This window comes from Homo sapiens, chromosome 1 (assembly GCF_000001405.40).
Source record: "Homo sapiens chromosome 1, GRCh38.p14 Primary Assembly".
In the NCBI taxonomy this organism is placed as follows: Eukaryota; Metazoa; Chordata; class Mammalia; order Primates; family Hominidae; genus Homo; species Homo sapiens.
Window position 1 is genome coordinate 241,603,381 of NC_000001.11, and position 23,272 is coordinate 241,626,652.

Sequence of the window (23,272 nt, forward strand, 5' to 3'; positions counted from 1 at the left end):
ACAGTGTGGAGACAGTAGACCACACATACAGGGATAGAAAGGTTGGTAGAACAAGGCTGAGAGGACATCTAAGTGTAGACAGATGTGTTTTGTTTTTTTTTTTCCAGCTCCTCCTTGCAGTTTGACTACAGGCATAGAGAAAATAGATGATTGAACTGATCTAGGGATTTTGTCTTTAACAAAGTTGGCATATGTAAAGAATGTAGAAACAAATGATTTAAAGTGATGCATGTAGCTAAGTCCGATTTTTTAAAAAGGTGAAAGTTAGAAGGGTTTGACGGAGTGAGCAAGAGACTAGAGACAGAAGCAGAGAATAGAGTTGGAAGAATCAGTGAATGAGGAAGGAAACATCCATGGCCAAAGCTAGAGACTGGGAAGTGGAGCCTGTTCCACACTGGGTTTGAGTTCAAACTGGAAAGTTCTTGTTGGCACCCAACGTGAAATTGTTTGTGGTCAGTTCTTACCCTTTATGACTCTGGTGTGATCGCCAAACAAAACATCTGTGCTGTTCTCTAGTCAAATTCATATGACCTCTGAATAAACAAAGTTATGGGAAGTGTGGAGTTCCCTCTTTTAAATTCTTAAATTTTAAGAGTGTTGGATAATGTAGGGTTTTTTGGTTGCTGATTTTGTCAGTCAGAAGATTTTTCTTTCCTTCTTTTGGTTGAGAGAGGGATGTAGAGAGAGTAAATGCTATTCCGCATTGATCTTTCCAGAGAGTGACTCATAGCATAAAATTCAACCAGATGGGAAGTCCCCTAGAACTGCTCTACCTCTGGGCAACTACTGATGACATAGGAAGACTTTCATTATTTTCCAGACAAAATTTTCTACCCTGGATGTGGTTTGGGAGGGGGGCATCTGTAGTCTTCAACTCACCATTCGAATGGAATATAGAATATGGCCATAGCAATGGGCTATGACACCCAGGGGCACCACCAGGCAGCCAAGAAATAAGAAAAGCACAAAGGAGGAATCGTTGGCATCCTTGGATTTCCAGTCCACAGTGCAGCCTAGTCCGTGTACGTCCAGGATGTACCTGTTCCATCCCAGGAGAGGTGCTCCTGCCCACGCCAGTGAGTAGAGCCAGATGTAGGTAATGGCCCTCCAGGCCCAGGAAAAATTGATCACTCTGGCATGGACCACGCGAATGTAACGTTCATAGGCCAGCACGGTTAGGGTGGCAATGGAAACAATCCCTGCAAGAAGAGAAAGTGGAAAAGTATAGCATGGTGCAGGGGGAAACCGGGCATAAGAGACGTGATACATTCTCCACTGGAAATACCTTACAGAGTATCTGAGATCGATAGAGTGCTCTCAAAGCCAAGAGTAATAGTGTCTATAGTCCCAAGGAAATTATACTGAAAATAGTTATCCATAAAAGGAACCACAGAAGGGCAGTCAGTGGCTCACGCCTGTAATCCTAACACTTTGGGAGGCTGAGGTGGGAGGATTGCTTGAGCCTAGGAGTTCAAGACCAGCCTGGACAACATGGCAAGCCCTGTCTTTACAAAAGATACAAAAATTAGCCAGATGTGGTGCCATACGCCTGTGGTCCCAGCTACTCAGGAGGCTGAGGCAGGAGGGTTGCTTGAGCCCAGAGAGGTCGAGGTTGCAGTGAGCTGAGATTGCGCCACTGCACACCAGCCTGGGCAACAGAGCCAGACCTTATCTCAAAAAAAAAAAAAATAAAATAAAATAAAATGGAAAATGCCATGCAGATTAAAAAAAGATTAGACAAAAATTAAAAGCCCTAAATCAGCCCCACCCCAAAGATGCCCCTATTGTATTAAACTTTCTCCTGAAGAGAAATTCCAGAACGAGTAAGGGAGAGTCACTAGAGCAAGTGTCTCTTTTAGTTTACCTTCTCTTGGCTGTCTCTGACTCAGCTATTAGAGGTAAAGTCAAAGGGGGTTGCAAAAGCTCAAGCTGAATGAAGTAGCAGTAAAATGATGCAGAGGACTGCCGTAACCTGCGTACTACCAGCAGATGTCAGCATACAAACTGTTCACACACAAGGATTGCTGACAGGGGTCAGGGGGTCTTCTGGGCTTGCATGGTCTTCACGTGTACCGCTATTTTGCAACAAGTCCGCTTTAATGATACTGTTTGTATATTTCTCTGTCACCTTCAGAGAGTAAGGTACTCACTTAACAAGCACCTACTATGTGCCAGGCACTGTGCAGTGGATGGCCCATGGTGACTAAGAGACAGAACTCTAGATGTCTGAAGGGAATGTACGTGTGTAAACACTGACAATGACCATGCAATGTGTGAATGCTCCCACTGCCACACAATGGATTGGAGACACAGAAAGGGAAGCATTTGCACACAAGGCAGAAACACATTCCAGGAAGAGTGAAGAAATATGTACCAGAGCATGGAGACGTAAAAGGACACCAAGGGGTCTATAAACGATGATTCAAAGATGTCAGGGCTCACAGGAGATGGAAAGAGAAATTTAGAGAGAGCCACATTGACAAAGGCTTTTAACTTCTAGCTAACGTTTGTGTTATTTTAATTTTTTTTATTTTTTAACCTTTTCCTCTATGAAATAGTAAATTATGAATCTGTTACTCTCTTGTCCTTTTACATCATTAGATTCCCCTTTTCCTCCTCCTCCTTTTTCTTCAGTAGTGAATGCTCATTCTGGCAGTAGTAGAGAATGTAAAACACGATTGGAGGCCATGGAAACCAACTTGAAGGCTATTGCAACAGCAGGCAAGACATGATGGGACCTCAGCTAGGATGACATTAAAAGGCATGAACAACAAAGTCTGGATTCCAGAAACATTTAGCAACTGGTATCAACAGAATCTATCTGCTTATCGAATGTGAGGCGTGAGGGGCGAGAGGAGTTAAAAGTAACTTTGAGGTTTTTGGCTGGGCACGGTGGCTTATACCTGTAATCTCAGCACTTTGAGAGGCCGAGGCGGGTGGATCACCTGAGGTCAGGGGTTTAAGACCAGCCTGGCCAACATGGCGAAACCCTGTCTCTACTAAAAATACAAAATATTAGCTGGGCGCGGTGGCAGAAGCCTGTAATCCTGGCTACTTGGGAGGCTGAGGCAGGAAAATTGTATGAACCAGGGAGGTGGAGGTTGCAGTGAGCCGAGTTCGTGCCATTGCACTCCAGCCTGGGCAACAAGAGTGAGACTCTGATTCAAAATAAATAAATAAATAAATAAATAAATAAATAAATAAATAAAATAAATAAAATAACTTGGAGGTTTCTAACCTGCCTAAGGAATAGCGAGTGATTACATGAACTGAAGTAAAAACCACAAGGTGTATGAACAGATGTGGGGAAGACAATAAAATCGTGAGCTTCCTGGAGCATAAATATTTGTTGAATGAGTGGACGCAGAGAGACTGAAAGAAAAGCAGTTCAAATGAAGAATGAAAATAAGACTGGTCTCCTGAGAAGTAAGGGAGAAAAGGGTGTGGGTGGCAAACGGGTTAAGAGGCCTGGAGGCAAGTCCCAGCTCCCCACGAAATAGCTCTGTAACTTTCAGCAAATCAAACAATCTCTTTTTGTTTTCATAAAATTGAAAATCCCTTCATATTTTAACATTTCACGATTCTGCAATTAATAAGAATGAAATACAGAGGTGCTGGACTCAGAAAGCAATTGGTATAACATAGTTAATATTCATTTATACCATGACAGGTTTGTTCTTCTGTGGGAGTTGGAGGGTGGGGAGCAATATTATTCCCAGTGTCTCACACACATGGCATCCAATAAATGTTCTTTGAATTAATAAGCGAAATTTACTAAATACTCAAGTGACCGGAAGAAGATTGGGTTTTGGAATCAAGTGGAAGAAAATACTTCAGAGAATAATGGTATAAGGCTGGGCGTGGTGGCTCACACCTATAATCTCAACACTTTGGGAGGCTGAGGTGGGCAGACCACCTGAGGTCAGGAGTTCAAGACCAGCCTGGCCAACGTGGTGAAAACCTGTCTCTACTAAAAATACAAAAATTAGACAGGCATGGTGGCATGCATCTGTAATCCCAGCTACTCGGAGGCTGAGACAGGAGAACTGCTTGAACCTCGGAGACAGAGGTTGCAGTGAGCTGAGATTGTGCCACTGCACTCCAGCCTGGGCGATGGAGCAAGACTCCATCAAAAGACAGACAGACAGACAGACAGAGAGCAAGAAGGAAGGAAGGAAGGAAGAAAGAAAGAAAGAAAAGAAAGAAAGAAAGGAAGAAAGAGAGAAAGGAGGGAAGGAAGGAAGAAAAAGAAAAAGGAAGAAAGAAGAAAGAAGAAAGAAAGAAAGAAAAAGGAAGAAAGAGAGAAAGGAGGGAAGGAAGGAAGGAAGAGAAAGAAAGAGGAAGAGAAAGGAGGGAAGGAAGGAAGGAAGAAAGAAAGAGAAAGGAGGGAAGGAAGGAAGAAAGGAAGGAAGGGAAAAGGAAAGAAAAAGAAAGAAAGTAATGATATAATAGCAAATATAGCAAATAATGGATTTAATTCAAATCACAGTAGTGATTATTGGGACAATGAAAGTATCAAGGTAGATGACTTTCATATTCAGAAGTCTATTTTTACCTTATTAAATTTTTATCTAAAAAGTGATATTATCCTTTCTTTACCTGATTAGATTCCTAGAAAAAAAAATCTAAAAACCTAAAGAAAATGACATAAGTTGACGCTAATGAAATACTGTTGGTTTTACGTAGTTTACAAACTTTCTTATTAAGTATAATGGTATTTACTTTTATAACTGCCTTTATGTGTTAAAACATAGTTTGGCACTCAACTTTTAGTTGATTTACATTGAATACGATTTAGTCTTTCATAGGCAAGAAAACTCAGTACAAATAATTGCACTGTTGTAAATTAGTAAATTTCAATGTACCTTAGAGAGGAATAAATGAGTTCTTATGGTGAAAGCAATAAGCTGGTAAAATAAGCTGGTATGAGCATATCATGTTCATATATTCATTCATTCATTTAGTCATTACTTATTGCTTGTGATGTTTCAGTCACTGTGCTAGAAAATAAATATAAAGAGGTGAGTGAAACCAACCCTCATGGCCTTAAGGTCCAGTGGGTAAGAGAGACAATAAAAAAACAAATCAAACAAGCAAATCAGTGCAGTGCTATGAAGAATAGAGAGTGCAGGGATAGAGGATAATGTGAGGCATGGTGGGAAGGACACAGAAAGGGACGCAGCTGCTATTGGCAGGCTGTCAGGAAAAGACCCATTGCACTCAGAGCTGAAGTATGAAAAATCCCAGCCTTGTGATAAGTCAGGGTGCAAGAGGTTAGTAACACTTTCCTTCTGGTTATTTTGGTCAAAGAGACTTTAACATTTACTAATATCGTTTTTGATCAAGCCTGTGTCTTAGCAAGCACAATGAGTTTCAGGTGCCTGATTTCAGCTGTTATGTACCATGACATGTTAGTACAGATCTAGCAAACCTTGTATTTCCCAAGTCCTCCCTGATAGCATGAGCATATAACTGAGTGGCAGCATGAGTCAGACTGACTTAGTCTTCGAGGGTAACCCAACTGAAATGATCTAATCTACATCTTCCTTGCAAAATATGCAGCCCTTCTCCCATCAATGCTTTATTTACTAACAAATTTTGGTCTTGAGTTGGAATTAATTGCTGTATTTTATTTGATTCCCACAACACTCCACCAGGAGGATAAGAATGAAAGGACTGTCTTACAACTACTTTAGACCTTTAACTGATGTTGAGCCTTATTAACGCAAATAAAAACTACATGGTACATGAGCAGATATGAGGAAGACAACCAAATTCTACTTCAAATGGTGCATCCATTTCCGTGAACACTGAAAAGCAATGGGAATGATGAGTGCTGCAAACTGGGTGCCGGTTATGCACCAGGTCCCATGATCATCACTCCACATATGATATGCACTCTTTTGGAAAGAAGGTCTGTGGCTCCAAGGGTTAAGGAATTGATGTCTCCACCAACAGGTGGTGGAGACAGTTTTGAGAACCCAAGACTTACTCCAAATCCTGTGATTTTGTCTTAATACCACCTGCCGCCACTAAAGGGTGACTTCTACCTCTCCACAAATTCTACCAGTGGTAAAGTGATGTCTGTGCCTTCGCTGCAAAGCTGCAGATGGATCAGGTATGTGCCTATCACTGTGCTGAGTAGGTCTTTTGGAGAAACCAGAGACATGTGGTCCTACCCTCAAGAAGACTGCAATACTGTATTTTTATATCACACACAACATTACAGAACAATGTAAGATGATATGTGATCATATGTCAAAGTTATGGTGCAAAAACAAACCAGAAAAAGTAAAATCCCAGTGGACTACTGGCTTCATTCAGAGATAAAGCTTAAGTTGGGTCATAAAAGATGGAATAGGTGTTAAGGAACAGAAAGGAATGAAATGGGCATTTCTAGCTGAAGCCTCCTTGAATTATTGCAAGAGTGCCTTGGACTCTGGGGTGTGGAGCCAGGACCAAGAGGTGGGAAGGTCAGTCACTACAGGGGATGGCGCAAAGCTGATCTGCCTTCCATGGCTGTCCATGGTCCACAGCAGGGATAGTCCATCTTTTTCTTACTGTTTTCCCTAATAGAATTTTGAAAAACTATGTATACAACCATATTTAAACTGTGACATCTACATTTTTTGTCTTAAGTTTAAAGAATTGTGTAATATAAACATTTCAAAATTGGAACCATTGGAAAGGGCTTATGTACCCCCCAGCGGTTTTGAAGACAGCGGTCTGTAAAATCAAATCTCGTTGGCATATCATTAGGCTTTGCCTAAGCTTGCTGCAACGGGATACACACCATGCCCAGGCTGCAAACTGCCCGGCATGTTCACTCAGAGCTGGCAGCTTTGATACTGCTGTTCCTTCTGCCTGAATTGCTGCCAAAGATCTCACAGTCTGGAGAAGACAGATGTGTAAACAAACAATTACAGGAATGTGATAAGAGTTAAACAAAGCTGTGTCGGGGAGCTGGAGAATGCAATGGAGGAAGTACTTATCTCTGCCTGGGGAAACACTGGGGAAGGTTTTAAGGGAAAGCAACATTTGAATTGATGAACAGGAGAATTTTATCAAGTTGACAAGAGTGAGGATATTTCAAGGCCAAGGATACAGTATGTATAAAAGCACAGAAGTGAAAATATATATTTAAATGTCTACTCTGTGCATCAGTTTGAGTCAAATAGTTCTTTCCGGTATAACTTAATGATTATACACTCATTTGCAATATTTATCAACAAACACATGTCATACACATACTGTGTGTCAGGCACTGTGCTAGACAATAAGAAAAAAAGATGAATTATAAACAGAGAAGTAAACTACTATAAAACAATGTGATAAATTCAGTAATAGAGACATATGTTTGAGGCCAAAAGTCCTGTATTCAATTCCAGTTTTCTCCATATTACCTAATGAATGTCGTCTGACTTCAGATCAATTTCATTTTTTTTCACATAATTACTCTGTGACCATGGGAAAATTAATTAACATCCCAGAATCTCAATTTGCTCACCAGTAAAACTGAGATAATAGTACCAAAATGCTGTCTCATCGTGTGGGTGTGTGGCTGTATTAAATGAGAATATACATGTTTAGTAAAGTGGTAATGCGTAAGGTATTATTATTATTACTGAATAGTTGAATATCTTGGAGCTAAATTGCTTTAAGTAGTAGAAAGTGGGTGGAAGGCATGGGAGTGGACAGGGCTCTGGAGGTTAAATATCAATACAACTCTGGAGCTTAAATATTAATACAAGGTGTGTTTATCAATATACAACTACCCAATAATACAGTTATTTTCTCACTTTGGCCACTAGATGGCCACATTGAATAGCTTATTTATAGTTCAAGTATCTAGACTGGGGTAAGCAAGTTCACACTAAACAGAAGAGCGTGCTTCAAAAAAGGCCATGACCGAGACCTGTCAATCCTTATCTGTTGTATGAAAAGGTTACTATGACGAAACCCATGCCTTCAAGGAGCACATAATCCAGAGAAGGAGGTAGAAGGAGAAACTCTGCCTATAGTGGGAGGAGGAACACCCAACTCAGGGTATTTTCTGTGGGAAGCAGGTACCACCTGAGTGAGTCTTAAAGATTAAGCACACTTTAACAAGGCCAAAAAAAAAAAAAAAAAAATGATGGGGAAGTGAAGTGACAGCCAATCCTCTTATCCTATTCCAGGAAGAGAAAACAGCTTATGTAAATACATGGAGATCTGACAGAGCTTGCACCATTTAGGTGCCTGCAAATAATTCAAAATGGTAGGACGGAGTTCTAAACAGAGAATGAAAAGACTAAGGACTCTCCTAGAAAACCCTTAAATGCCATGCGTGGAGCTTGGAATGTGTCCCGAGGGCTCTGAGGAGCCATTAAGCTGTTTTTGTTCACTTCCATTACAATACAATTCTAGAGAATTTTATTTTCTTTTGATTTTGCTTTTGGAGGTTTTCCTTATGGGAAGTTCCCTTGGGCTGCAATGAGGAAAATGGATTGTGAGCCAAGCCTGGTTCTAGGGAAACCTAGTGGAGAAATATGGTTACTGTGATAAGGAATGAAACTGATGCAGTGGCACTAGGGAAGGAGAGACGAGGAAGGTCCACCATATTTAAGGAAGTTAATCTTTGTTGGCTGTGGGAATGAATGAAGAAGAATCAAAGCAAGTCTTGGGTTACTGGTTTGTTATAATTAATAGCTGATGTTGCATTGACTTAGAAAAGAAATGGGAGAGAAGTAAATTTGGAAGTGAAGATGATTAGGGGATAACTTATGTCATCATAGATTCTCTGGATCATTTTGAACAATATCTGGATGGACTGTGTTTCAAATTCTCTACCTATAAAATGGGGCAACTGTAAATACCTGTCTTGTGGTCTTCAGAGTTGGCTGGGTGAATGAGCACACAGTAAAATCTTCCAAACTAAGTGGATGCATTTTTCTCAAATTAATGAAAATTTTGCTCACTCAAAAATATATCAATTTGTAGAAATTTAAAAAGATGCAGTTTAACTATTTTTGTTCACAGATAGTAATGGAAACAAAACTCTACGAAGATTGCTTAATAAAGATACTACTTTACTAAGTAGTGGTCTTTATGAGACCATCCCTAGAAGCTTTATAAAATTAATCAAGGAAAAAAGGACAAGGGGAATGTAAAATAAACCAAGCCTGTGGTACATTCAGCATGGATTATGAGGTCAGCTTGCTCTCTGACCTGCTTCCTCATAGCTGTTTGCCTCTTGTCCCAGAATCACGTAGACCCTGTGACAAAATTATAGTTCCCCTTAACTGCTCTATGGATAACAGCTTGAACATTATATAATGTTAAGTTTTCCATTTGAGATATTCTTTCAGGTCCTACGTACCAGTGAAACTACTGACATCAGCTTGCCTGAAGGATCCCACGAGAAGCTGACTCACCAAAGAATGCAGTTTCCACATCCTGATGATTTCATCCTCCGTAACCCAACCAATCAATGACCCCAATTCCCATCCTCTTTCTCCTCATGGTCCCCTTAAAAATCCCAACCCAGATCTCCTCAGGGAGATGAATTTTAGGGTCTCCTCCATCTCATCGCTCAGCACCCACTCAATCATGGCTGTTACCGTGCAGCGGGCATACCATCCTGTTGCTCCTATAATATCTAGTCATATGAAACAATATTAAAGAAAACCAGTACATTTAATATGCTTGAAAAAGTTTGTTCTTTTAAGCAAGTAACCAATTCTTCTTTGAAATCTTGTTTATATTGCTTATTTGTTGAGAAAGTTTCCTTCCTCCTTTTTATTTAATTAACAATAGTAATTTCAGCCCACTAACACTTATAGAGAGTACTTACTATGAGTCAGGGACTGTTCTAAGCAGTTTGCCTGTGTTATCTCACTTAATCTTCATAACAACTCTGTGAGACATGTAGGAATTATAATTACGATTCCCATTTTACAGATGAAGAAACTGAGGCAATAATGGTTTAGTCATTTGCCAAGGTCACAAGCTAAAAAATAAAAGAGCCAAGACTCGAATCACACAGTCTGCTTCCAAAGTCCATGCTGTGCTATACTTGTTTTCTAATTCTTCTTTGAGAATTATCAAAAATTTTATATTAGTGATGTAGAGTCTCTATAGAAAGCATATTTAATCCATTGTCTGCTACGTATGTTCTGTAACCATGTCTAACTTTGATATCAGAAGAAGTCATTTTTTTAAACTCAATATTCTTAAATTGAAGAATTTTAGAGAAAATGAAAGACTACCTTCATTTGAATAATATCTCTCAGCTGTTAGAATGAGTGATTTCCATTTGACCAATAAAAGCAGTTTGCTAGAACAACCAAAGTGGTAGTTGGTTTTTATTATACATGTTTTCCACATCAGGATGTGGAAACTGCATTCTATTAAATTTTCATGTTCAGTAGTCTTCATATTTCGTGCACAATGACTCAGTTTCAAAGGAAACCCAGCACAACATCAAAATTAAAACCCTTTCTGTGGGTTAAAAAATTAAGATTTCAGGTCCGGTGTGGTGGCTCATGCCTGTAATCCCAGCACTTTGGGAGGCCAAGGCAGGCAGATCACCTGAGGTCAGGAGTTTGAGACCAGCCTGGCCAACATGGTGAAACCCTGTTTCTACTAAAAATACAAAAATTAGCCAGGCTTGGTGGTGCGCACCTGTAGTCCCAGCTACTTGGGAGGCTGAAGCAGGAGAATCGCTGGAATCCATGAGGTGGAGGTTGCAGTCAGCCGAGATCATGCCAATGCACTCCAGCCTGGGCAACAGAGTGAGACTCCGTCTCAAAATTAAAAAAAAAAATTATGATTTCAGGTAATCAACTTATATAGAAATGTATTTCTGACCATTGTGTGTCATAGCTACCCAAATGCTTGCAGTGCATTTAAAACTGAGAGGCCCCTTAAGAGAGGGCCAGTGAACTACCAGAAGAGAACGATTGAATGAGGCAGGCCACATGCTGTGGTCTGTGGCTAGCTGCTCACAGTTTAAAATGCTGCACTGTTGTTTCCATTGTGCTCACTCATGCTATCCTTCACTGGTATTTCACATGCATTGCATTTTTTTTCTATTAAATTTAGTGACTTTTTAAAAAATAGGGTACACGGGGCAAATAGTTGCCATAGTTGTTAAAACATACGGACATTTTTCACCATAAGCATCTCCTCCTAGGCTACGCTGGGCACCTGTGCAGTAGCTTGGAAATCGTGCCAGGCTTACCTCCCCTCTGTTATCTTTGGTTCTTTTAATATCAGCTCCCCTTGTTCTCTGACCATTCTGGCTTCAAACTTGGCTTCTTTTCTGCCTATAGTCCCATTTGGACAGATATCCTAGCCTTAGGCTTTTCTGCCTACAGTCCCATTCGGACAGATATCCTAGCCTTAGGCTTTTCTGCCCATAGTCCCATTTGGACAGATATCCTAGCCTTAGGCTTTTCTGCCTATAGTCCCGTTTGGACAGATATCCTAGCCTTAGACTTTTTGACTTGCCTCTGATTTGACAAAGCTTTAGGCGTTTGTTTCCCCCCAGTAATTGCTTAAACTCCACAAACCATAACCAAGGAAAAGGAGAGCCCTATCTTGGAATAGGACCTCATTAGAACTTTTTCCACACTTATGCCTCTGCTCGTCAGGAAAGGATATTGAACAAGATGGTTAACAATGCAAAAAAGGATCATTATTACACTAAGAGACCCAAGAAATATCCAGTATGACCAGAGTCTATGGGCTGAGTGGGAAAAAAGTTTGAATATAAAGTAACTTCTCTGTGGAATTAATTAAGGTTCAGAAGAATAACAAACATAAGCACAGTGGGGCCAAAGTCTAAAAAAAAAAAAAAAAAAACAGTTGGATGAAAGCACTTAACAGGAACTGAGAATTCTAAATTCTAATCCTAAATCAACTGCACTCATAGAATAAAAGTGTGAAGTGTGGTACCACAGATAAAATGGGAGGCATACGCTTTGTTTCCAACACTTAAAATTATTTCGTGAACACAGCAATCTAGGTTTTATGATAACCTACCACAGTATGCTCAAGAAAACTGCATCAGACTCTGATCCACTTTAGGAACACATTGTTTTGCTTAGTTTTCCCATTCCTCTATCCCCTATCTCGTATTTGCTTTTAAAACCAACAGAAAGCCTTTCTTAGGAAACATTTCTAAATTCATTTCTGTGCCTCATACCATTCCCACTATTCTAGTGCAGGTTCATATTCCGTAAATGACTGCTGTCAGCCATCTATGACTAAATTTCTTTTGTTTGTACAGCCTTTGTCATCCTCCTGGGCACCACATACCAGATTAATCATTGACTGGACTCTATTCGTGTGCCATCCCAGATCTCCGTGACTCCACTCACAAGCTCCTACTCCCAACTGTGTGCCCTATTTGCCTTGCTTCCCAGCAGCGGTGGCTCTATGACTATAGTTACAAAGCTTCAGCTGCTGCCACTGTCACCACCATTGCATACCTGCATGCAGATAGTGCCTTGCTGCACTGGACCCATGGAGGCTCTGGCTTCCCTAGTGGCTGCCTGAAGCTGGCTGATCCAACCTAGAGGCAAACGGACATTAACATCTCATGGAGCAGAGTTGGACCAATGGCCAAGAGACAGGAAGAAGCCAGAGATTAGATTGCTTGCACTCTCCTGTCATGCCATGGGTTGTTTCAAGCTGCGTTAGTATCAGGTGGTCTCTCTGAAGATGTCCTGCAAGACCCAGTGACCAATCGTGGCCAACTCGGTGGTGCATCCTCTCTCTAAGATTTGGCCTCCTCCTTTCCCTGCCTCTTCCTCTATTCCCTTACTTTTGATTCCCTGGGATTATGATCCCCAATAAAGCATTAGCATATATGCTTTGCCTTAGGCTTTATATGCGGGGAACGTGTGCTAAGATAATCATCTTATTACTTTCACAAAGCCCTTTCTGGAATAATGACCTGCAAAGCTCCCTTCGCATAGCATGCTGGCTATTAAGAAACTCTGTGTATTTCTTGCACTACCTAGTCAACCTTCTCTTTCACCATTTATAACTTCCTTAGTGCATACCTCACTCTGTCCGTCCACAACACAAACAGACTATCTTCATGGCTGCTATTTCCTACTTACTATATTTTGGTACAATTCTGTGTACTTATGTCTTACCTCTCCAATTAAATTGTAAACTTAAGTATGACATACTTAAGTATGTCTTTGTATTTTGACATCATTTTGGCACCGAGAATAGTACAAGGGATTATTATGTATTTGCTGCTGATAAAAGTTATATACACATGACCATGTTTCTTTCCAAATAACAAGGAAAAATCCTGGAGTAAACATGGTCATCCCTGTAATTAACCAAACACTCAGGTGAAATGTTGCTTAGAAATAGCCACAGTTGACATTTCAATGAAAAATTTTTTTTTCCCTCAGGGAACTAGCAATACACAGGTCAGAAGAATGTAAAACAAGGCCAACTCCCTGCTGTTTTTTACCTAAAGGATCACTTTTTCAACTCAAAATATGATTTGACAGTCCTTACATGATAATTTTTGGCTATTAAAAAATCTATAAAATATTCATTTTTATGAGTGTTATAAAGTCAAATGACAATCCTGTTGGATTTATCATCTCTTATTCTCTAATCAAAATAATACATTATAATAACTTTATTTCATATGATATTTTATAATTTTCAAAGTACTTTTTAATGTATTTTTCTAATTAGATCTTTCCAGACATGTCAGGCAGGAAAGTCTCATCGTCCCCATTTGATGAGAGTGTGAGAAAAGGGGCTGATATCCGTGACTAGCCTAAGGTCACAAGACTAGGAAGGTTCTATTTGAATGAGAACCCAGACCTTCTGACTGCTAGTGTGGAGCTCTATTTGGATTTTCCCCAAAAAGATTACACAAAGCAAGTTGTTTCTCAGCAATGGCGAAGCTTGAGGTCTTTTTAATTCTATGAAAACATTCAACACATGAATAAATTGTGGAATAGCTCTGTGACCTGCAATGATGAGTCTAGTTTCTAAGTGTTCCTTCCTAGATTATTAACCTGACAGCAAATGAAAAAAATCCGATATCCCAGAAGAGCAAATGAAAAATATGAGGGAATCTCAGAGGCACTGAATTAAATCTTCATTCCATCATTTATAATTTACAAAGCTCTCAAGGGAGCTCAGGGTTTAGGTTTTAGAGCGGGTGATAACAACACTGATTCCATTTAAGTCATTTTCTATTACCCTGCTGCTGATGCAAATGGAGAGCACGGAAACACAGAGGGCGAGTGCGACTCTTCTCTCAAGAATGAATATCACACGCTCCACTGTAATTGTGTGTGAGTAATTAATCAACCAGAAAATGTGATGTGATACCTCAGGACCATATGAGAAGAATGAGAGAAGAAGCTTGTCATATATAACGTGCTAAGGAAAAACATAATTGCTATATAGCCTGTGCAGTTCTATGTTTGGGCAAAATGCTTTAAGTTGTAAACAAACTTGTGAGGTGGAGGCGTTGGAGTATAAAGCAAAACCCATATTGGTGACCAGTGTGGAACAATCTGGACAGGCAAGAAAAATCTCATTTCCTTGGAAGTCTTAGTCATCCTGATCTGAGAATGTCAAGTAATGAAGAACTAAAAAAAATAAATAAATAAAAATAAAAAAAAGAAGGTGGGAGAAGGAAACTTTAGAAATATGAGATATTTTCCCCAAGACCACAAAGTAGGTGTTAGAACAAGGCTAGTTCCCAGACCCATTCACATTCTACTATTTCAAGCTTCTCTTCCACACTGTCAAATTGGGGTTAACATGAATTTAACTCATCTCTTTGATGTTCAATTTAACACCTTCTGGATCAGAGCAGCATGTCTCTTTCCTTTAATAAGAATGCTGTTTCCAAATGCCAGCTTTTGAAATAGCTACATACGAAACTCCTGAGGAGATGGTTTAAAATGCTGATTCCTAGGCTCTGCCCTTGAAAATACTTGATCCAGTAGGCTTAGGACAGAACGTGAATATCTGTAAGTTTCAAAGTTACCACTGATGATCCTGACTTTCAGAACGATGGGTCAAGATTAAAATCAGATTTCCTTTAATATAATCTCTATCACTATTTGCTCAATTCCCAGGTTTTCCTCAATTCCCATCACTGGTGCAGGAGCACAAGAAACCACTCCAGATGCCTCTGAAGCCTTCAGTCTCAATCCCACACCAAGAGGTGCAGCGCAGAGGGGTGGCCCTCTCTCCTGTCTCTGATGGATTCCGCAGCCAGCCCATTTCTGGTCCGTGCTGACCTCCATCGTTTTCAGCAGAGCAACACCGCCATCGTTCTGTGTCTCTTTGTGCAGGCAGCAGCACAGAATTGGGAATATATTTAAGGACCTTAATGTTCTATGGAATGGTTCTGTTCAATGAGAAGACTTTCATGTATATGCCAGGTTTAAGGCTTTCTTCTTTTCTCATTGTATCTTTTTTTTTTTTTTGGCACACCCACTTTTGTATTTATTTATTTTTGCTTATTTCATCTTATCTAAGAATTCTTCTACATCTTTAAGAAATAGAGAATAAAGAGATATGCCTCAAGCCTCCAGTGGGCAGGCTAGTTTATATATATATATATATATTTCAGATATAATTAAGGATCACTCCAGGCAAGGAGACAGTACATACTTACAATTCAGTGCTATGGTGCCTTTTATGTGTGAAACCCTTCATTCTTCACGGATCTTTCTACATCAACACTCCTTCATCCTTTGGAACTTGAGAACTTTCAGGAAAACCTTCTGGTTGTTTCATACTGGGCTCTAAAACTTGCTTGCCTTTGTCCCCATCTGCTGCTCAGTGGCTGCATATTAGGAATTTGGAAATTGCCCCAACATAAGAACTGAACCATTCATTTGCGTTAACATTTCACAAAACAGTACTGCACGGGACACTAAAGGTAATACTATGCACAAGGCTCCCTAGTTGAGAGAGTCAGTACCGATGTCCGGGTGCCAGGCTGAGCCAGCCCTGAGGAAAGGGCATCTTTTCTAGCTTATACAGGCAGTTCTGATTTCTGTACTTTACTCATTTCTAGCTTTTATCCCTCTTTACCTATCTCCTTGTCTTTTGCAATTCTGCTGCTTCTTATAGTCCAATAAACTATAATAATGCCATATTTTATAGAACCTGACACAGCATATCATAAAATGGCTGAAAGTGATGTCATATGAAAAGCTCTTGAAAATCTAACTAAATGCCCTTGAGGTTCACCCTGGCCTCACCAGTTCCCTAGACTCCAGACCCATCACGAAGTGAGAAGCTTGTTGGGGAGACATGGGCAGTTTCATCATGAAACAGACTGATGTTACTTCTTAGGGAATTCTCTCACATTATGGAAAGCAGAAGCCTGGCTGTACAAGAAACTTGTGGCATATTCTAAGTAAATCAGATAAAAGTGTTCCAGGACAAATCACAGCCTAACAGCAGACAGTCACCAGGCCGGTGTGTCTAAATCTTCTTTAAATGTTTGAGTTGCTCTAACGTATAGGGCCCTGAGTTTAGTTCTGGAGAAGCAAAGTCATAAAATATGGTCCTTGATGTAAAGGGGAAAACGCAATATGAAAGAACAAAGTAAAATACAAAATTGCGTATTTGAAATGCCAAATGAGACATACAGATGTTAAGTGCCAGAGGAGCCCAGACAGAGGAAAGTTCACCAAGTACTGGGGAATACAGGGTGGGGCAGGGTTGGGGGTGGGGGTGTTAAATAAAGGGGAGGGACTGAGGGAAGTTGAAAATAATCAATCTGAAAATTTGCCCAGCATGTACATGCCTAGCAATTTCAGGTTTAATTATAAACCCTAGAGCAGCATTGTTCAGTAGAAATATAATGTGAGCCACAAACATTTAAATTTTTAAAAGGTAAAAAGAAACAGATGCAATTAACTTTAATAACATATTTTATTTTACCCAACTGGTATGGACTGGATGTTTGTGGCCCCCCAAATGCATGTGCTGAAACCCTAACCCTCAGAGTGATGGTATGAGGTGACATCTTTGGAAGGTGATTAGGCCATGAAGGCAGAGCCCTGGTGAATGGAATTAGTGCTGTTGTAAGAGGCCACAGAGCTAACTCTGGTTCTCTTTCTGCCATGTGAGGATAACACAAGTAAGCACACTAACCTGGAAGAGGGCCCTCACCAGAACCCAACCTGCTGGTACCCTGATCTCAGACTTCCAACCTCTGGAACTGTGAAATATAAATTTCTGTGTTTACAAGCCACCCACTTTAGGGTATTTTGTTATAGCAGCTTGAACTAACACATTAATATATGCAAAATATTATTTCAATTTTTAATCAATATAAAATTATTGAGATATTTTATATTTTTCTCATACGAAGTCTTGGAAATATAATTAATATTTTACACTTACATCTCAGTATAAACTAGCTACATTTCAAGAGCTCAAGAGACACATGTGACTAGTAGTTATCATATTAGACAGCATGACCCTAGAGAAACTCTGTGCATATTGGGCAGGAAGAAATGTTATAAAGATATACTCTGAAGCATTGTTTATTATATTATAGTGAAAAACAGGAAATGGACCTCCATCAAAAGGGAAAAATGTGTAAATAAACTGTGAACAAAAGGATGGAAGCACTGCTTGGATTCACCTTAAATCCCTGTTGGTGACCTCTGGGGAAAGGAGGTAAAATGGAATGGAGGAAATACATAAGTGTGAATTTTATCTGCAATATTTTAATTCTTTAGATAAAAACAAATATAGAAATACCAGTCTTTGCTCAATGGGTAGTAGATACATGGACCCTTATTGTATTATTATTTGCATTTTTCTGTATTTAAAAGCTTTTAAGTAAATTACAAAATAAAATTCACTGAGGATATGGAGGTGCAAGTAGTAGACAATCAGAAGACTGGCTCTTTGAAGAAAGAATACAGACAGTCATAAGTCAAGGGACAACTGGGGATGGTGACTCGACTTGTCAACTGATGGGAATGATCCAGAAAGGAGAGTTAAGGCTGTGAACAAGAGGTGACAGCTAAAGTTTTATATTCCCTGCACATCTGTGTGACAAATGTGAGTTCAATTTTGCAACCTCACCTTGGGAGAGTGTTGATGAAGCAAAGGGTTTTATAGAATGAGGGAGTAATGCCTCAGAAGCAGCAGTGATATTTAATGAGTCACCTATTCTACTACCTGGTACTGGGGTATACCTGGTGTTAAGGAAAACACAGCTGGGACAGGTGGGAAAGTAGGGTTCTTGGGGGCAGCCAGGGTTAAGTTAAAGGAAGGAGGTAGAGAAATGTTCAAAGATGTTGAAGTTATAGGGGAGTGTACGGCTCATGAAGGGAGGATCCAGTGGAAGCTCAGGATTGGAACAGATCAATAAGTATAATGGGTCATAAAGAGATGTGAGCCCAGGCATGGCCAACTGGAAAGGTTTTCCCTTCTGGCATCAACTGATTTTCGCAGGGATGTGAGGTACTATGGGATCAGTTCTGATCAACTTCTGGGGAGAGGCAGGGTAAAGAGTGTTTCCAGGGTGTAGGTCCTGAATGATTTGCTTGGTGGTATGTTGATTTCTGGAATATGTGCTCTCTCAGGCTTCAAACTGTGGACTTTTGAATTTCTTTCAATGTTTCACTCTCCTAACAGTGCTGTGGGGAGAGAGAGTGAGACATAGTGATCAAGGGCACTGGTTTAGGTTTCATATCCTCCACTTTTTGTGTGACCTTGAACAAATTAATCTCCTGGTGCTTTAATTTTCTAAATGTAAAATGGAGTACTGATATATCTAACTACCTCATGGAGTTGAGACAAAAATAGAGTTCATTAATATGCATAAAGCTCTTATCACAGTACTTGGCATATGTTACACACTAAGTGTTAGCTATGGACATTATAATCAGTGTAGCTATATATTTATATGCATTCATGATTATCTCCTTAGGTTAAATTCTTGACAATATAATTGTTAGGTAAGAAGGTGTGCAAAATTTTAATGCTTTCTTATAACTTGCCAAAATACTCACCAGAAGAGAAATTAAATCTCACTACCATATCATCTGATACTTGTTTGATTCCCTCTTATTTATGTCACAATGCATGACAACCCACCACCCACCCAACAATCGATTACAATAGTCCTCTGTGTACCTACTGGCCCAGAATGCAGGAGTGCTGCCTGGTGATCCACATTTTAAAGAGGTGCCCATTCAATTCATTAGCACTCTTTAGTTTAAAACCATTGTTCTAGAATTTCAACAATTGATAAATCAATTGCTAAAACATTGGTTTCACCCAGCCTCTTTGCAATGGTAACACTTTGGCCCACGCTCTTGTTGAAATTCCTCTTGGCTTCTATAACACTTCTCTCTTCTGCATCATGTGCTATTTCTATACCGCATGTTTTTTCCCTTTAAGGAGCAAGTAAGTGGGTAATCTTATGTAACTGGTAAGTCCAAAGTGGCACTGGCTTCGAGCATAGTGTCCAGTAGAAATATATGGGCCGCATCATCCAGAGGCCTGAAGCAATGTCATCAGGGCTTTGGCTCTCTCCTCCCATCACTGGCTTAGTTTCTTTGTATTTGGACAGACTCCCTGGCAATCAAAGTACTGGCACGCTCTGACTCAAATCCCTGAGCTTTCAGAAGCCCAGGAAGTTTGTTTTTTTTAAAGAGTCTATACCTAGAAATCTTAAAAAAACAAAAAACAAAAAACAAAAAAAACAAACAAAAAAAACTCTTTCTGGCTCAGGACTAATCCAGGGGTGGGAGTTACTATGCCAAATCAGGCAGGGCACCATGTTTGCATTACCAAGTCCACAGCTATTAATTTTCTTCTGATTTCTCTTCCATTTTTGCAGTACTCTCATTCACTCAATCACTAAGTCAGGCTAATTTATCTCAACAGTTCTCAAATCTGTCCTTTGTTGTCCTGACTACTATTGCCCTAATTCAGACTCTCACCAGCTCTTGCCAAACTGTTTTAATAGCTTTCTGTCTGATCACCCTTCTCCATTCTTGCCTCTCCTCGATTCATCTTCCATATGGACACAAAGATAAGCAAATGCAATCTGTTTCCTTATTTAATACCATTAGGTGCTTCTCCACTAGGATAAAGTAGTCAGAATTCCTTAGAATGGCATACAAAGCCCTCCAAGACCTTCCAGAGCCATCTACTGATCACCCTGTATGACCAAAACTAAATCCATTTGCTTTTCCTCAAACCCTGTTTCCAGTTAAATGAATTACATACATTCAGACACCAAAACTGAAATTTTAGACATTCTCGATTTCTTTCCCTCTCTACCTAACTTGTAATGTAGACATTTTCCAAATCCTGTATTTCTGTCTTCAAATTGTTCTCTGCCTCTTTCATTCCCTTTGCTCTGCCCTATCCAGGCCTTATCACATTCTTTCTCCTTGCCTCCAGTATCCACATCTTTTTCCCAGCCTCCTCTCCACTGTCACCAGGCTAACCTTTGAAACATAAGTCTTATCAAGAAAAACTTTCCACAGTACCTCATCCGCTGAATAAAAGCCCCCAAATCTTAGCAAGCTATTCAAGGTTACAGACACTGGACCCTCTTCCACCTGTCCTGCCTCTCCACGCCAGGCCAGGCACTCTATGCTCCAGGCACTGTGGACCCTCTTCCACCTGTCCTGCCTCTCCATGCCAGGCCAGGCACTCTATGCTCCAGGCACTGTGGACCCTCTTCCACCTGTCCTGCCTCCCCACGCCAGGCCAGGCACTCTATGCTCCAGACACTGTGGACCCTCTTCCACCTGTCCTGCCTCTCCACGCCAGGCCAGGCACTCTATGCTCCAGACACTGTGGACCCTCTTTCACCTGTCCTGCCTCTCCACGCCAGGCCAGGCACTCTACGCTCCAGACACTGTGGACCCTCTTTCACCTGTCCTGCCTCCCGATGCCAGGTCAGGCACTCCATGCTCCAGCCATGCAGACTGTGTCAATGCCTCCATGCCTGTTTCTGCTATTCTTCCTACATGGGGTGTTGTTCCTCATATCAGCCCATGGAAATCCTTCTCAACCATAAGGGCCAAGCAGAAACACCTTTTCTTTTTTGAAGCATTCCTAGATTTCCCTAGCAGGACTACTCTGTTTATATACTGCAGAAATGATCACAGCCTGATTAATATGGTGGTTAATTGTGCATCAATGTCAGGCCCAATGGCTTGAGCGTTCCAGTACTTACAGATTCTGACTTTCAGAGAGTTACTGAGCCTTATTTCTCATCTACATATGGAAACATTAATACCTACCTCACAGAGCTGCTTTAAAAATTGAGATAAAACGTGTGAAGAAATCAGAACAGTTCATGGCACAGAAGCAGTTACCAGTGTTCCTGGACTTCACTGGACACCTCTGAAGGCACCACATCACATCTCACTATAGCATGTGCACCAAGCTTGGGGGTTATGGAATCAAACTGCCTGGGTTTGAAGCCCACTTCTACCACTTACCAGCTGTGTGATCTTGGTCAAGCTCTTTGTCTTCACATTGTCTATTTACCCATCTGCAAATGGGGATAATAAAATACCTACCCAACTAGGTTTTTATGAGGATAACATAAAATAAATATAGCAACCATTGGCATCCAGTTAGTGCTAAGTGTTAGTTACAATTTCATCTCTGTATCCCAGAGTCTAGCACAGAAACTGGGACACGGTTCATGCTCAATAAATATTACATTGTAATGAACCCTATGCTTCACTTGGCAGTGTCTAGTTAAAGTTCTTATCTGCATTAAGCATACTGACTCATTCCATTGCAATTAAGTATTTTCTATAGTTAACACCCATCTATAAAATGCCAAGCTGCTGCCTATCTCATTGCTTGGTGAACCACCAGTGAGTGCAAATGTGTGTACAATTATGGATGGTTTATTTAGTCTTGAATAGGCTTCTCCGAAGCCATACTATTGTTATATATGTGTAATTTGATTAATTTGCCAATAGTCTGTCAAGTGAATAGCACCCCTTCCAAAAACAGTATGCTAAAATGTTTTTACATTGATTTTGAGGTAGTTGCCATGCATAGAAAGATTACCTCTCATTTCTATTAATATAATTGCTTTGCAGAGGAACGGTATTTCTGGATAAAATTATTTTAAAAATACCAAAAATTGCAAATTTCAAACCTATACCAAACTGGGGCAGGATGAAAAATATTCTCTCATATTCAAAACTTTTGTTTTGGAATCTGTGTTATAATAAACCACCAGAAGGAAGCCACTGTGAAGATTGGCGAGGGAAGGTAGCGGGGAACTGGGGGATCTATATGGGAGCAGCAAAGACAGCAGTTCCTATCAACAATGACCCTGTTGAAGAAGCACTGATAGGGGTCAGAAAACCTGAGGAAGAAAGCAGACTCCTTATGAATATTCAACACTTGCTCTAGTGCAGTTTTTCTCAACTTGGCGCTTATCGATATTTGGGGCTGGATAATTCTTTGTTATGAGGGAGCTGACCTGCATTGCAGAATGTTGAACAACACCCCAGCCCTCTACCCACTGAATGACAGTAGCATCTGATTCCCAGATGTGAAAACCAGAATGTCTCCAGACTTTGCCAATAAAAGGCCAAACACTCTGGTTTAAAAATCACTGCCTTAATGGGAGAAAATTAGCAAAATTATTTAGATGGAACCTCTTATATCTAAATGTGTACTATTTTTAAGTAGCTTTATTGACTCATATAGGCTTACCCTAAAACTAATGATCTGTACTAATAATACAAGAAGCCAGGACTATGATTGCGATATATTTTACCAGAGATGGGTCCTAGTGGTCCTCTGTTCCTCAGGTTGGAACCTAGAACAGTGTGAAGGCAAGAGGATGACATGGAAGAAAAGAGCCACTGGAAACTGCTAGCTGGTCTTTCAATTAGCAAATCGTTGCGGGGGGGTACCTGTGAAATGTAAGCAATTCCAGGGAATGCAGAGGTACCATACACATAGTCTTTGTTTGAAAGGAGATTACAATCTCCTGACAAACTATTTCCAGTGCAATTCTCATCTTTTGCTTTTTACTTTTCTATCTGGTTGGTACTTATGTTTCAACAGCAGGGGTCATTACCAATGTTATGTATTTATAAAATGAGAACAGAACAATGTACAGCTCATTTCTCCATAATACTTCACTTAAATCATTTTAGGAAATTAACTGTATTATTAATTGCCTAAAAACAAGACTCCAAGCACCTCCTCAGCCATACATTCCCCCAAATTTTTCCTTTAAAGCTGGTAAAAT

At 40.2% G+C, this 23,272-nt stretch overlaps 1 protein-coding gene across 1 annotated transcript in view; it reads right to left on the bottom strand.

The window, feature by feature from the left end:
- OPN3 (opsin 3) overlaps positions 1-23,272 on the bottom strand; it is a 47,246-nt gene that overhangs the window by 10,257 nt on the left and 13,717 nt on the right. Inside the window, exon 2 of the mRNA NM_014322.3 lies at positions 880-1,199. Within this exon, the coding sequence (NP_055137.2) occupies positions 880-1,199 (320 nt within the window). The remainder of the gene's footprint in view (positions 1-879; positions 1,200-23,272) is intronic.